Source organism: Homo sapiens, chromosome 16, assembly GCF_000001405.40.
Source record: "Homo sapiens chromosome 16, GRCh38.p14 Primary Assembly".
In the NCBI taxonomy this organism is placed as follows: domain Eukaryota; kingdom Metazoa; phylum Chordata; class Mammalia; order Primates; family Hominidae; genus Homo; species Homo sapiens.
Window position 1 is genome coordinate 26,841,175 of NC_000016.10, and position 13,538 is coordinate 26,854,712.

Below are 13,538 nucleotides of genomic sequence, written 5' to 3' on the forward strand. Positions count from 1 at the left end.
TAAATAAATGATCTCCCCCACCCAGCTGTACCCCAACAAATGTTTTGGAAAGGGTTGAGGAATTGAGAATAGAGTCTTTTGGATACAGGTAGGCAGACACTGGAGAAAGATTTGATGCAGGCAGATTGGGGCTGCCATGTATGATTGTTCACGTTGTGTACTGCACAAGGCTTCTGATTGAAGGGGGCAAGGAGAGGCTGAAATTCTTGACTCAATTGTCCTCACCAAGCTGTGTGCTTTGGCATGAAGCTATATCTGTCCTGAGAAAGACATATTTTTCTTTTCTCTAATCTGACGCTTCAGCAGGCAAAACTTTTTCTAATTTGTTCAACCATATGGGACACTATTTTTCAATTCATCCACTTGGGAGGGTCATTTTTTTTTTCACTCAGAGGCATATAGGCTAGCAGTGGTCCCTGCAGCAGGTTCAGAATGGCAACCACACCCTTTAGAAAATATCAAAACATTAAATGAGTGTAGGAGCACAAAGCCCAAAGTCTCAATTTCTGCCCTGGCTTGGACCAGTCAAAAATGGAGGCTATTCCTGAGTATAGCAGATTTCTGTGTGTGTTGGGGTGAGGCTGGGAGGTTGGACGGCCTGGCTCCATAAACCCCAAGAGCCTCCAATTTAGACATTGATGCCATTTCAAAGTGAGATTGATTGTAGGTATAGTCCCGAGGATACACTGGCGGGATAGAAAGAAGAAATCACTCATTCAAAGGCTTTAAAATCTGTGTCCCAGGCCAGTCGCGGCGGCTCACTCCTGTAATCCCAGCACTTTGGGACGCCAAGGCAGGCAGATCACAAGGTCAGGGGTTCGAGACCAGCCTGATCAACATGGTGAAACCCTGTCTCTACTACAAATACAACAAATACAAAAATTAGCCGGGCATGATGGTGCATGCCTGTAATCCCAGCTACTCAGGAGGCTGAGGCAGGAGAATCACTTGAACCTGGGAGTTGGAGGTTGCAGTGAGCCGAGTTCGCACCACTGCACTCCAGCCTGGGCAACAGAGCAAGATTCCATCTAAAAAAAAAAAAAAAACCTGTGTCCCAATCCAGACCCTGCATCTGTAACATACCAGGCATTTGGTTTTTAAAATAAATCCTATAATTATCTTGTGAAAAGTATAATTATACCTTACTGTGCTTTTTGCCTGTTAAAAACATCACTTCGTTAAATGTAAACATTTAAAATGCACAATGGTTTTGGTGATTCCACTCTGAAGCATTTCTTTACTTAAAAAGAAAACCCCAGGCAAATGCCTGAAGCTCTCTCCACCTCTGAGGGGTCCTGGGCATTGGAATCACAGAAGCCAAAAGCCTTAACCCCTGCAAGTGTGACCCTGGGCACGTCTTGCTCCTCTGTCACCACCAGGCTAGAATCTCCTTGAGGTCATAATTATGGCTTATTCATCTATGGCACCAAAAATCTATCCCAGTGTCTGACACATAGTAGGAACTAGTAATGCTTTCATGTGCTTACTATATGCTAAAAACTGTAGTAAGTACTGTATGTATATTAACTAATTCATTCCTCATTTTAGCCCCACAAGGGAGCATTACGCTGGTAACTTACCCATTGTTGGTAACTTACCCAGCACTATGCTGGTAACTTACCCATTGTCTCTCAGCCCCTAAAACACTCTCTATAGCATACTCCAGGGGCCAGCACACAGTTTTCTGTAAAGGGCCAGATGGTAAACATTTTAGACTTTGCAGGCCTTAAGGGCTCTGTCAAAACTGCTCAGATCTTCCATGGCAGCACAGAACTCCCATAGACAACATATAAACATATCCACATGGCTGGAGTTTATGGACACTGAAATATGTATGTTGTAGAATTTTTACATCATAAAATATTACGCTCTTTTTAAAAAAATGTAACTATTTAAAAATGTGAGAGCTTTTCTTAAATACTGGGTCATACAAAAACAGGAGTCATGTGGTCTGTGGTGTACTTTGCCAGCCTCTTGCTGGACTCTGTGATTCTGGGGCTGGAGGTCTGCACACTGCATTTCCCAGAATTTCTTGATGCCTGGCTCTCTGCTGGCTTCTGTTACTAGGAGGCACAGCTGAAAGATTGGCAGGAGGAGGGAAGAAGGGTTGTACTCCTGTCTAGCTGCCATCAGTGTCCCTCCAACAGCCAACAGCAGAGAATAGCCAAGGCTCTACCTTCAGCTTCAGTTTCTTTTTTCTTTTTTTTTTTTTTTTGAGACAGAGTCTCACTCTGTTGCCCAGGCTGGAGTGCAGAGGCACGATCTCAGCTCACTGCAAGCTCCGCCTCTCGGGTTCACGCCATTCTCCTGCCTCAGCCTCCCAAGTAGCTGGGATTACAGGTGCCCACCACCACGCCTGGCTAATTTTTTGTATCTTTAGTAGAGACGGGGTCTCACCGTGTTAGCCAAGATGGTCTCGATCTCCTGACCTAGTGATCCGCCTGTCTCGGCCTCCCAAAGTGTTGGGATTACAGGCGTGAGCCCCTGCGCCCAGCCCCCTTCAGCTTCTTTTGCCATCCCCAGCATCAGCCCCTAGTGCCCCAGAGATGTAAACACCAGCCACTTGGTATCTCCAGGGACCTAAGAACCACCTATTGGAGCACCTCCCTTCAAGAGTCAACCACCCACCAGAATACAGAGGGAGCTAAAACAACTCTATAAGAAAAAGTCTAATAATCTGATCAAAACATGAGCAAAAGATCTGAATAGACATTTCTGAAAAGAAGACATACAATTGCAAACAGGCATATGAAAAGGTGCGCAGCATCATTGATCATCAGAGAAATGCAAATCAAAGCTACAGTGAAATATCATCTCACCCCAGTTAAAATGGCTTATATCCAAAAGACAGGCAAGGACAGATGCTGGCAAGGATGTGGAGAAAAGGGAACCCTCGTACGCTGTTAGTCGGAATGCAAATTAGTATGATAAATATGGAGAAAAGTTTGGAGGGCCCTCAAAAAACTAAAAATAGAGCTACCGTAGGATCCAGCAATCCCACTACTGGATTCTATGGTAGCTCTATTTTCAGTTTTTCGAAATCAGTACATCAAAGAGGTATCTGCACTCCTATGTTTGTTGCAGCATTGTTGATGATAGCTAAGATTTGGAAGCAACCTGTGTCCATCAACAGGTGATTGGATAAAGAAAATGTCGCCGGGCATGGTGGCTCACGCCTGTTTTCCCAGCACTTTGGGAGGCCGAGGTCGGGAGTTCGAGACCAGCCTAACCAACATGGTGAAACCCCGTCTCTACTAAAAATACAAAAATTAGCCTGGCATGGCGGCACGTGCCTATAATCCCAGCTGCTCAGGAGGCTGAGGCAGGAGAATCACTTGAACTCGGGAGGTGGGGGTTGCAGTGAGCCAAGATCATGCCACTGTACTCCAGCCTGGGTGACAGAGCAAGACTCTGTCAAAAAAAAAAAAAAAGAAGGAAGGAAGGAAGGAAGAAGGAAAATGTGGTACCTATACACAATGCAGTACTATTGAGTCATAAAAAAGAATGAGATCCAGTGATTTGCAATAACATGGATGAAACTGGAGAATATTGCCTTAAGTAAAATAAGCCAGGCACAAAAAGACATGCATCACATGTTCTCATTTATTTGTGGAATATAAAAGTTAAAACAATTTAATTCATGGACATAGAGAGTAGAAAGGTGGTTACCAGAGGCTGGGAAAGGTAGTAGTGAAATGGGAGGAGGGGAGGATGGTAAATAGGTACAAAAAAATAGAAAGAATGAATAAGATCTATCATTTAATAGCACAATAGGGTGACTATAGTCAATAATAACTGCACATCTTTAAATAACTACAAAAGTGTAATTGAGTTGTTTGTAACTCAAAGGATAAATGCTTGAGGGGATGGATACCCCATTCTCCATCATGTGCTTATTTATTGCACCATATTGTACCCATATTGCATGCCTGTATCAAAGCATCTCATGTATCGCATAAATAAATAAATATATATACACATATATTTACTATGCACCCACAAAAATTAATAATAAAAAGGCCTTATTTAAAGAATAAAAATAAAAATAACGATTCAAGCACTCACTTGTAAGGGACCCCGCTATGAGCTCCTAAGTGCTATAACATGACTTCTTCCCTTTTGTTCCCCAGCACTTCATTGTAGTTGTTTCTTCCTGCATTTCTACTATCTCCCCTTCTTCCCTTTCAGGGTTCTAATGCCTGCATAACCAATGCCCTGCATTTAATTCTTTCTGTTTGAAATATCTAGTATGAGTTTTGATGGAGTTTTCTTAACTAGGTCTCAACTGATCTGTCCCTATTTTATAGACTAGACTGAGGCTCCTAGAAGTTTAGGTTTTATCTAAGTCAGTGTAGCAAGTAAGTCATAAGTATTTTTCCAAAATCACAGAAGAGGGAAAAAATAAAGATATATTGAAGCCCATGACTATCTGACCCCAAATTGTGTAAGATCTTAGCCAGCATAGGCTACAGAAGGAAGAGTTCACTGCTCACACTGCTCCCAGCAAACCCTGCACAGACCCTGCATTCTCATGGTTGAATGAATAAACGAGTAGATGATCTTCTCTTCTCTTTGAACCTAGTGCTGGCCTGGGCATCCAATAAGGCGCAATAGATGATTTGTCAAATTAAAAAATAGGAGAATAAATGTTTTAAAGCAGTAGTTTGCAACCCTGGCTGCATATGAAAATATCCTTAAAAGAAAGTGTGTCCAGGCCCTACTCTAGAGCAAACAACTCAGAATCAGCTGTCCGTATTTTTTATGACTTCCAAGTAATTCTAATAGGGTTGAGATGTACAGCTTTAGGCAAAGCTTAGCTGGGGCCCTGATCTTTCTGGGACACCGTGAGTCTCTCCGAGGAAGATCACTGGAGCTGGGTGTGCTGTGGTCTCCCTAGCAGGCTTCGCTACACATCGCCCCAGGGAGCACCATCACATCTGAAAGTGAAGGTCCCTTTGTTCAGTCAGTATGGAGGTTTTTGTTTTGTTTTGTTTTGTTTTTACCAGGAAATCAAATCAGATTTAGATTCAGTCATATTTGCTGGGTATCTACTATGTGCTATGTGCTATGCTAGACATTGTACACAATTCATCTTAACAGTCACATAAGGTAATCATCATTGAGAGACTGAATGTACAAACAGACAACAACCAAACCCTATAGGACGATGGACTCTCTAACCCACGACCTCTGCAGCAAGTGTTCCAGAACAGTTGGAGGTTACACATCTGGAAAGAAAATTTGTAAGAGAATTAAATGAGATGCACTTTTTTAAAAGCACTTGGTTGACCACTGCTAACTTCCCGATTTTCTGCACCAGATTCTAACTCAGGACCAATCAGAGAAAGCCAAAGATGCTTCTTCCCAAATTAATCCATGAGATGCTTCTAGTTAGCCCGCCTCCAGCCTCCCCAAGTCAACAACCTCCAAAGAGAGCATGCTGGACACCTTCCCTTCTTCGCTATAAAGCTTTCTCTCTGCACGGCCTTCAAGTCAAGCAAATGTGAGTGATGGAGGTGGCTGACTCCCCCTATAGCAAGCGTGAAATACGAAGCTTCTGTTTGTTCTCACTTGGGTGGTCCTTGTTTATCTTCACATAATTATCTATAATATTTTAATTGTGTCAATGTTTTCTTTTACAAATGGTGAAATGTAATATTATAGAAGTAAGGTAACTTGTTTGAGGTTGCACAGCTGGAAGGAGGCACAGCCAGGTTTTGACCCTGGAGAAGCAAATTAGTGTTAAGAGGAGCAGTGCAGTGCAAGGTCAAACGCATGAGCTATGATGGAGTAAGGAAGAATGGTTACAGTCCTGATTAAGACTCTTACGGACTTTGAATGGGTCACTTAATTCTCACTGTGCCTCAGTTTCCTCACATCAGTCATGGAGCTATAATGCCTCACGAGAAGTATAGTGCACAGAGTCCAAGTAAAAACTCTGGGATAAGACTCCTGGATTCAAACCCTGATCGAATTACCAGCAGTGTCCTCAGTATTTTTATCTGTAAAATGAGGATGATTATGCTCCATTTATCACAGCTTTTTTTTTTTTTTTTGATGGAATCTCGCTCTGTCACCAGGCTGGAGTGCAGTGGCGTGATCTCGGCTCACTGAAACCTCTGCCTCCTGGGTTGAAGCAAATCTCCTGCCTCAGCCTCCTGAGTAGCTGGGGCTACAGGCGCCCGCCACCACACCCAGCTAATTTTTGTATTTTTAGTAGAGACGGGGTTTCACCATGTTGGCCAGGATGGTCTCAGTCTCTTGACATCATGATCCGCCCGCCTCGGCCTCCCAAAGTGCTGAGATTACAGGCGTGAGCCACAGTGCCCAGTCCATCACAGCTTTTTTTAAGAGAATTAAATGAGATGCACTTTTTTAAAAGCACTTATGTGACACTATGTATCAGGTCCTGTGATAAGTGTATTACAGGCATTTATTTAATTCTCATAATAATGCTGAGTTACACACCATCACCTCCAGTTTACAGATAAGAAAACGGAAGAAAAAGGAAATTAGGTAACTTACCCAAGGTCCTAAAGCTAGGAAAATGTTGACCTGTGTTGGAATCCCTGTCATCAGTACACAATTCTGCCTCTTTGATAATAAAATATGCAAAGCATTTAGTTCAGTGCCTGACATAATATAAGCTCAAAGGTAGAAGCAATGATTAGTAATTGGTTAGTCTAAATTCAAAACTATTTCTAGTACAGACTAATGACTTCCAGGAAGACAATATATTATAAAATGATCACTTTCAGTAAAAGAGACAGAGAGAAAGAAAGAAAGGGAGAGAGAGTGCACCCATAGATGAGTCTGATTTAAACAAAAGTGTTCAAGAGCTCAATAGGAAAATTAATACATTCATGAGAGGAGTTCACATAAAAGAAATCTAACTAGCTTTTAAATATATGAAAATATGCTAACACTCTTCTAGCATTTTCTTATTTTCTTAAATGAGATACTGGTTTTTTTTTTAGGTTGGCAAAGTTCAAAAAGCTTATCAATCAACACTGAGTGGACCTTCCCTAAGGAATTGTAAAGTTGGCAACAGAGAAAGAATATCCACTTAATAACACTTCTATTCAACATTGTGCAAATGTTCATGAAAGACATAAATTGTGGAAAAGAAGAAGTAAAGCTTTCTCTATTCAAAGATGACATCATTCTACATGTAGAAAATCCAAAAGAATCTGCCCAAAAAACTACTAGAACTAATATGAAAATTTAGCAAAATTGTAAAATACAAGTTTAATATAAAATTCAATTATATTTCTATCTACTACCTACAAAAATTGGAAAATAAAATATAATATTACTTACAATAGCATCAAATACATAAAATGTTTAGGAATTGATTGAATGCTGTGTAAAAACTCTGTGCTAAAATATTGCAAAACATTAAAACATTGCTGAATGAAATTAAACAAGACTTAAATAAATGGAGAGATATACTATATTCATGGATTGAAAGATTTAATTTTGTTAGGATGATAGTCTCCCTACATTGATTTATAAATCTGATGCAGACTCAATCAAAGTCTCAGCAGCCTTTTTTGATAGAAATCAAGTTGATTCTAAAACTTGTGTATAAATGGAAGGGCTCAGAATTTCCAAAACAATTTCAAAAAAGAACAAAGTTGGATGACTTCCATAACCTGACTTCAAAACTTACAATAAAGCTACAATAATCAATAGGGTATGGCATTAGGCAGAAAATTGAAACTGGACCCCATCCTTACACAATGTACAAAAATTAACTCAAGATAAATTAAAGACTTAAGTGTAAAACCCAAGATTATAAAAACCCTAGGAGAAAATCTAGGCAATGCCATTTAGGACATAGGCAAAGGCAAAGATTTCATGATGAAAACACCAAAAGCAATTGCAACAAAAGCAAAAATCGACAATGGAATCTAATTAAACTAAAGAGCTTCTGCACAGCAAAAGAAACTATCATAAAAGTGAACAGACAACCTACAGAATGGGAGAAAATGTTTGCAATCTATCCATCTGACAAAAGTCTAATATCCAGAACCTACAAGGAACGTAAACATATTTACAAGAATAAAACAAACAATCCCATTTAAAAGGGGCAGAGGACATGAACAGACACTTCTCAAAAGAGGATATACATGCAGCCAACAAACATATGGAATAAAAAAAGCTCCTCAACATTACTGATCATTACAGAAATACAAATCAAAACCACAATGAGATACCATCTCAAGCCAGTAAGAACTGCTATTATTAAAAAGTCAAAAAACAACAGATGCTGGAGAAGTTGTGGAGAAAAAGAAATGCTTTCACAGTGTTGGTGGTAGTGTAAATTAGTTCAACCATTGTGGAAGACAGTGTGGCAATTCCTCAAAGACCTAGAGGCAGAAATACCATTTGACCCAGCAATCCCATTACTGGGCATATAACCAAAGGAATAGAAATCATTCTATTATAAGGATATATGCACATGTGTATTTATTGCAGCACTATTTACAATAGCTAAGTCATAGAATCAACCTAAATGTCCATCAGTGATAGACTAGATGAAGAAAATGTAGTACATATACACCATGGAATACTATGCAACCACAAAAAGGAATAAGATCATATCCTTTGCAGGGACATGGATGGAGTTAGAAGCCATCATCCTCAGCAAACTAATGCAGAAACAGAAAAACAAACACTGCATGTTCTCACTTATAAGTGGGAGCTGAATGATGAGAACACATGGACACATGGGCAGGGGGGCGGTTGGGGGGAACAACACACTGGTCACCTGTGGGTGTGGGGAGAACATCAGGAAGAATAGCTAATGGATGCTGGGCTCAATACCTGGGTGATGGCATGATTCGTACAGTAAACCACCGTGGTACACTTTCACCTATGTAACAAACCTGCACATCCTGCACATGTACCCCTGAACTTAAAATAAGAATTGAAGAAAAAGAGAGTATGGCATTGGCATAAGAATCACTGCAAAACAAAATTCAGAAAAGATTCATACTTATACAGTCAGTTGATTTTTTTAACTAAGGTGTCCAAACAATTCAGTGGAGGAAATAAATATCTTTTCATCAGATAGCATTGGAGTAACTGGGTAAACATTTGGAAAAAAAAATGAACTTTGACCTCTACCTCACATCATATATAAAAATTAACTCAAAGTAGACCATAGACATAAACATAAAAGTAAAAATTTTAAAGTTTCAAAAGAAAACAGAAGAATAACTTCACAATTTTGGCAAAGATTTCTTAGGACAGGAAAAGCACTAACCACAAAAAAATTAATTGGAATTCAATATTTTAAAAGGTTGATCATCAAGTGACATCATTTAAAAATAGGAAAATCACAGACTGGGAAAAAATACATACCTGGCAAAAGAGTAGTATCCATAATATATAAAGAACTCCTGCCAATCAATAATACAAAACAAATAATCCAATAAAAATAGGCAAAAGACTCAGACACCGTACAAAAGAAGATGTAAGAATGGCTAATAAGCACATGAAAATGTGCTCAATAGAATTAGTCATAAGGAAAACCCGCATTAAAACACATTTAATACTCATTAAAATAATGAGATAAAACCTCACACCCAATAGAATAATCCAAATTTATAAGGTTGAGAACACCAAATATTAGCAAGCCTGTAGAGCAACCAGAACTCTCATGAATTGCAGTTGGGGACACAGGGAGGGGAACATCACACACTGGGGCCTGTCGGTGGAGCGGGGGGTGCGGGTAGGGGAGGGATAGCATTAAGAGAAATACCTAAGGTAGATAACGGGTTGATGGGTGCAGCAAACCACCATGGCACATGTATACCTATGTAACTAACCTGCACGTTCTGCACATGTATCCCAGAACTTAAAGTATTTAAAAAAGAAAAAGAAAAAGATTAGGCATATAAATTTAACCAAAAAAATAAACAAAATAGTATAGTTACTTTGAAAAACAGTTTGTCAGTCTCTTATATAGTTAAACATACAACTACGCTATGATACAGCTATTCTACTCCTGGGCATGTATACAATATAAATGAAGACATATGTCCACACAAAAAGTTGCTCAAGAATGTCATTGGCAGCTTTGCTTATAATAGTCCCAAAGCAACCAAATATCCATCAAGAGGAAAACAGATAAATAAATCTTAATCTACAGTATTCATGCAATGGAATACTACTCAGTAATGAAAAGGGAGGAACTACTGATATAACATGTACGAAATTCACACCTCTTATGTCAAGCAAAAGAAGTCAGACACAAGAATAAACACTGTGTGATTCCATTTATGTGACATTCAAGAGCAAAATCTATGGCAATAAAAATAAGAGCAGTGATTGATGCCTGGAACAGGTTAAGATTGACTGGGAAGTGGCATGAGAAAACATTCATAAGTAATGAAATTGTTCTCTATCTTGACTGGGGTGTGGATTACATGGCTTTACACGTCTGTCAAACCCCATTACACAATACACTTAAGGTCTGTATATACTACAGTTTGTAAATTTTACCTCAATTTTTTTAAAGCCCTCGAAGTGTTTGACAATAAATTAAATAAAAAATGAGGTAAATTTTAAAGCCCTCAAAGTGTTTGACAATAAAATAAGTAATAAATTGAGGGAAATTGTACCTCAATTTTTTTAAAACCCTCAAAGTGTTTGATTGTGAGGGTGTGTGAAAAAACATTTCTGGTGAGAGTATATATGTGCTACAACCTCTCTGTAGGGAAATTTTGAAAATACCTCTCAAAATACCAATTCACATATGCATTTGGCCCACTGATTGCCCTTCTAAGAGGCAGCCTGCAGATATATCCACACGTTGTAGAAACACACCTAGAAAGATATTCTTGACAAAAACAGTGTGTGGTAGCAAAAGACTGGAAATAACATAACCATCCATCCAGAAAAGGTTAAATAAATTACAGCGCTACATTTTAATAGAATACAATGTGGCTGTTAAAATAATAAGGGACATTGTTATGTACTGATATGAAATGATATTCAAGATACATGATATATCAGTACACACAAAAAAGACATGGAACGGAGCTTATAATATCCTTCCATTGATGGAAACATAAATGTGCTCAAGTAATATATCTTGAAAGGTCCATAAAAAGCAGGATGCAGCTGTTACCTCTGGGGATGGGGGCTGGTCGACTGGGATACTGGAGGCGAAACCCTGAGGAAGAATTATTTGCTATATTATCTTTTTTTATTGTAGGAGGTTTTTTGTTTTGCTTTGTTTCGTGGTTTCTTTTTTTTAACCAAGTGATTACTTAAATCTGGAAAATTTTAAAAGCCAAGAAAAAGACCAACACTGGTGGGGCCAATCCATTTTCTCTGGGACTTGACCCAGACCCCTTTAGCTCCTGTGCCCCATAAATCCTGGGCCTGTCCTGCTTCTCCTATAGTAGTCAGTGTCACTGTTTTTTGTTTGTTTGTTTTTGAGACAGAGTCTTACTCTGTTGCCCAGTCTGGAGTACAGTGGCGCAATCTCGGCTCACTGCAATGTCCATCTCCCAGGCTCAAGTGATTCTCCTGTCTCAGCATCAGAGTAGCTGGGATTACAGGTGTGTGCTACCACGCCTGGCTAATTTTTTTTTTTTTTTTTTTTTTTTTGTATTTTTAGTAGAGACAGGGTTTTGCCATGTTGATCAGGCTGGTCTAGAACTCCTGACCTCAGGTGATCTGCCCACCTCTGCTCCATCATTTTTATCTCCACTGCCTCCCTCCTCAGATCCCACCTCAGTCCCACCAACTGTTTCCCCTTCAGGGCTATCAAGGTATGTGTCCCAGGTGCTTTTCCCACCCAACATCACCCTTCGCTACTCACTATGTGAATTATTGGATTTTCCAGCCTTTTATTTATATTTGGCTTTTCCCAAGCAAAACAGAGCCACCCATAGCCAGAGACTATGTCTAGCCCAGCCAGATATATATGCCCCAAAATGAGACCATGAAATATCCCTGTAATTTTCAGATGCCTTAAGACATACCTCTTAAATATTTAGTGGATTATAAATGACCCACAGCTTTGGTCTAGCTTTTAAATATAACTTCTTCATAAGCCTGCATGGACAGTTTGCCCCCAGCCCCAAATGGGGACATAATTGTGGCTCGCCTGATGAATATGAGAGCAGGTGCGTGGGAATTTCTGTGGAATATTAACGATGTCCTCCTAGGGGCTTTGTACCCACTACAGGGGCAGATTTGCTGCCAGAGACTTCTCTCTGATTCTCCAGTTTCCAGCCTGCTGTACAAAGATTTATGGGGAGAGAATCATAGAACCTGCCCTGAGCCTGAGTTGGCTGCTGATTTTCTGTGTAGCATTGAGCTCACCACATTCCCTATCTGGGCCTCTGGATTCTTCTCTATTGCACTAGATAATTTTTATAGCCCTTGCAGCACTTGTTTTGAGACTTCTGAATATCTGCAATTATAATGATTTATCAAAATATATTTCACAATAAAAGAGAGGAAAATAAGCAATAAGGATTTTTAAAATTTTTTTAAAATAGATCTAAGCTGGGCACTGTGGCTCACACCTGTAATCCCAGCACTTTGGGAAGCCAAGTGGGCAGATCTTTTGAGGCCAGGAGTTCAAGACCAGCCTGGCAAACATGGCGAAACCTCATCTCTACAAAAAATTCAAAAATTAGCTGGGCATGGTGGCACACACGTGTAATCTCAGCTACGTGGGAGGCTGACGCATGAGAATCTCTTGAACCTGGGAGGCGGAGGCTACAGTGAGCTGTGATTGCGCCACTGTACTCCAACATGGGCCACAAAGCGAGACTCTGTCAAAAAAAAAAAAAAAGAGGGGGTCTTAAAAAAAAAAGAAGAACTATCACATTTCTATTCAACCTTGTTATTCCAGCAGCCTTGGTGCTGCCTGGGACCTAGTTAGAAATGCAGGTTCTCAGGCCTCACCCCAGAGCTACATTAAAGAAGCACTCATGCTATTTATCAGCTGACATTTTTCTGAGTCATGTAACTTTCCTGTTGTAACACCCACACACATTTTAAGAAACTTGGATTTTTAATGTTTGTGCAACAGAGAGCCATTGAAAGGTGGTTTTCAAGGAGTAAAGTTATGGTCAAATTTGCATTACAGTGAGATGGCTGAGATGACAGAGGCTTAAAGGAGGTGAGTCTACAAGGAGGACTAAGAAAGCGGTTGGGCGTGGTGGCTTAAGCCTGTAATTCCAGCACTTTGGGAGGCCAAGGCGGGCAGATCACCTGAGGTTGGGAGTTCGAGACCAGCCTGACCAACATGGAGAAACCCCATCTCTACTAAAAATACAAAAAAAGTTAGCCAGGCGTGGTGGTGCATGCCTGTAATCCCAGCTACTCGGGAGGCTGAGGCAGGAGAATTGTTTGAACCCAGGAGGTGGATGTTGCAGTGAGCCCAGATTGAGCCTGGGCAACAAGAGCAAAACTCCATCTCAAAAAAAAGAAAAAGAAAACAATCCAAGAGATAAATCATGAAGGCCTGAACTAAGATAGGAATGATGCAGGTTAGAGAGGAACAG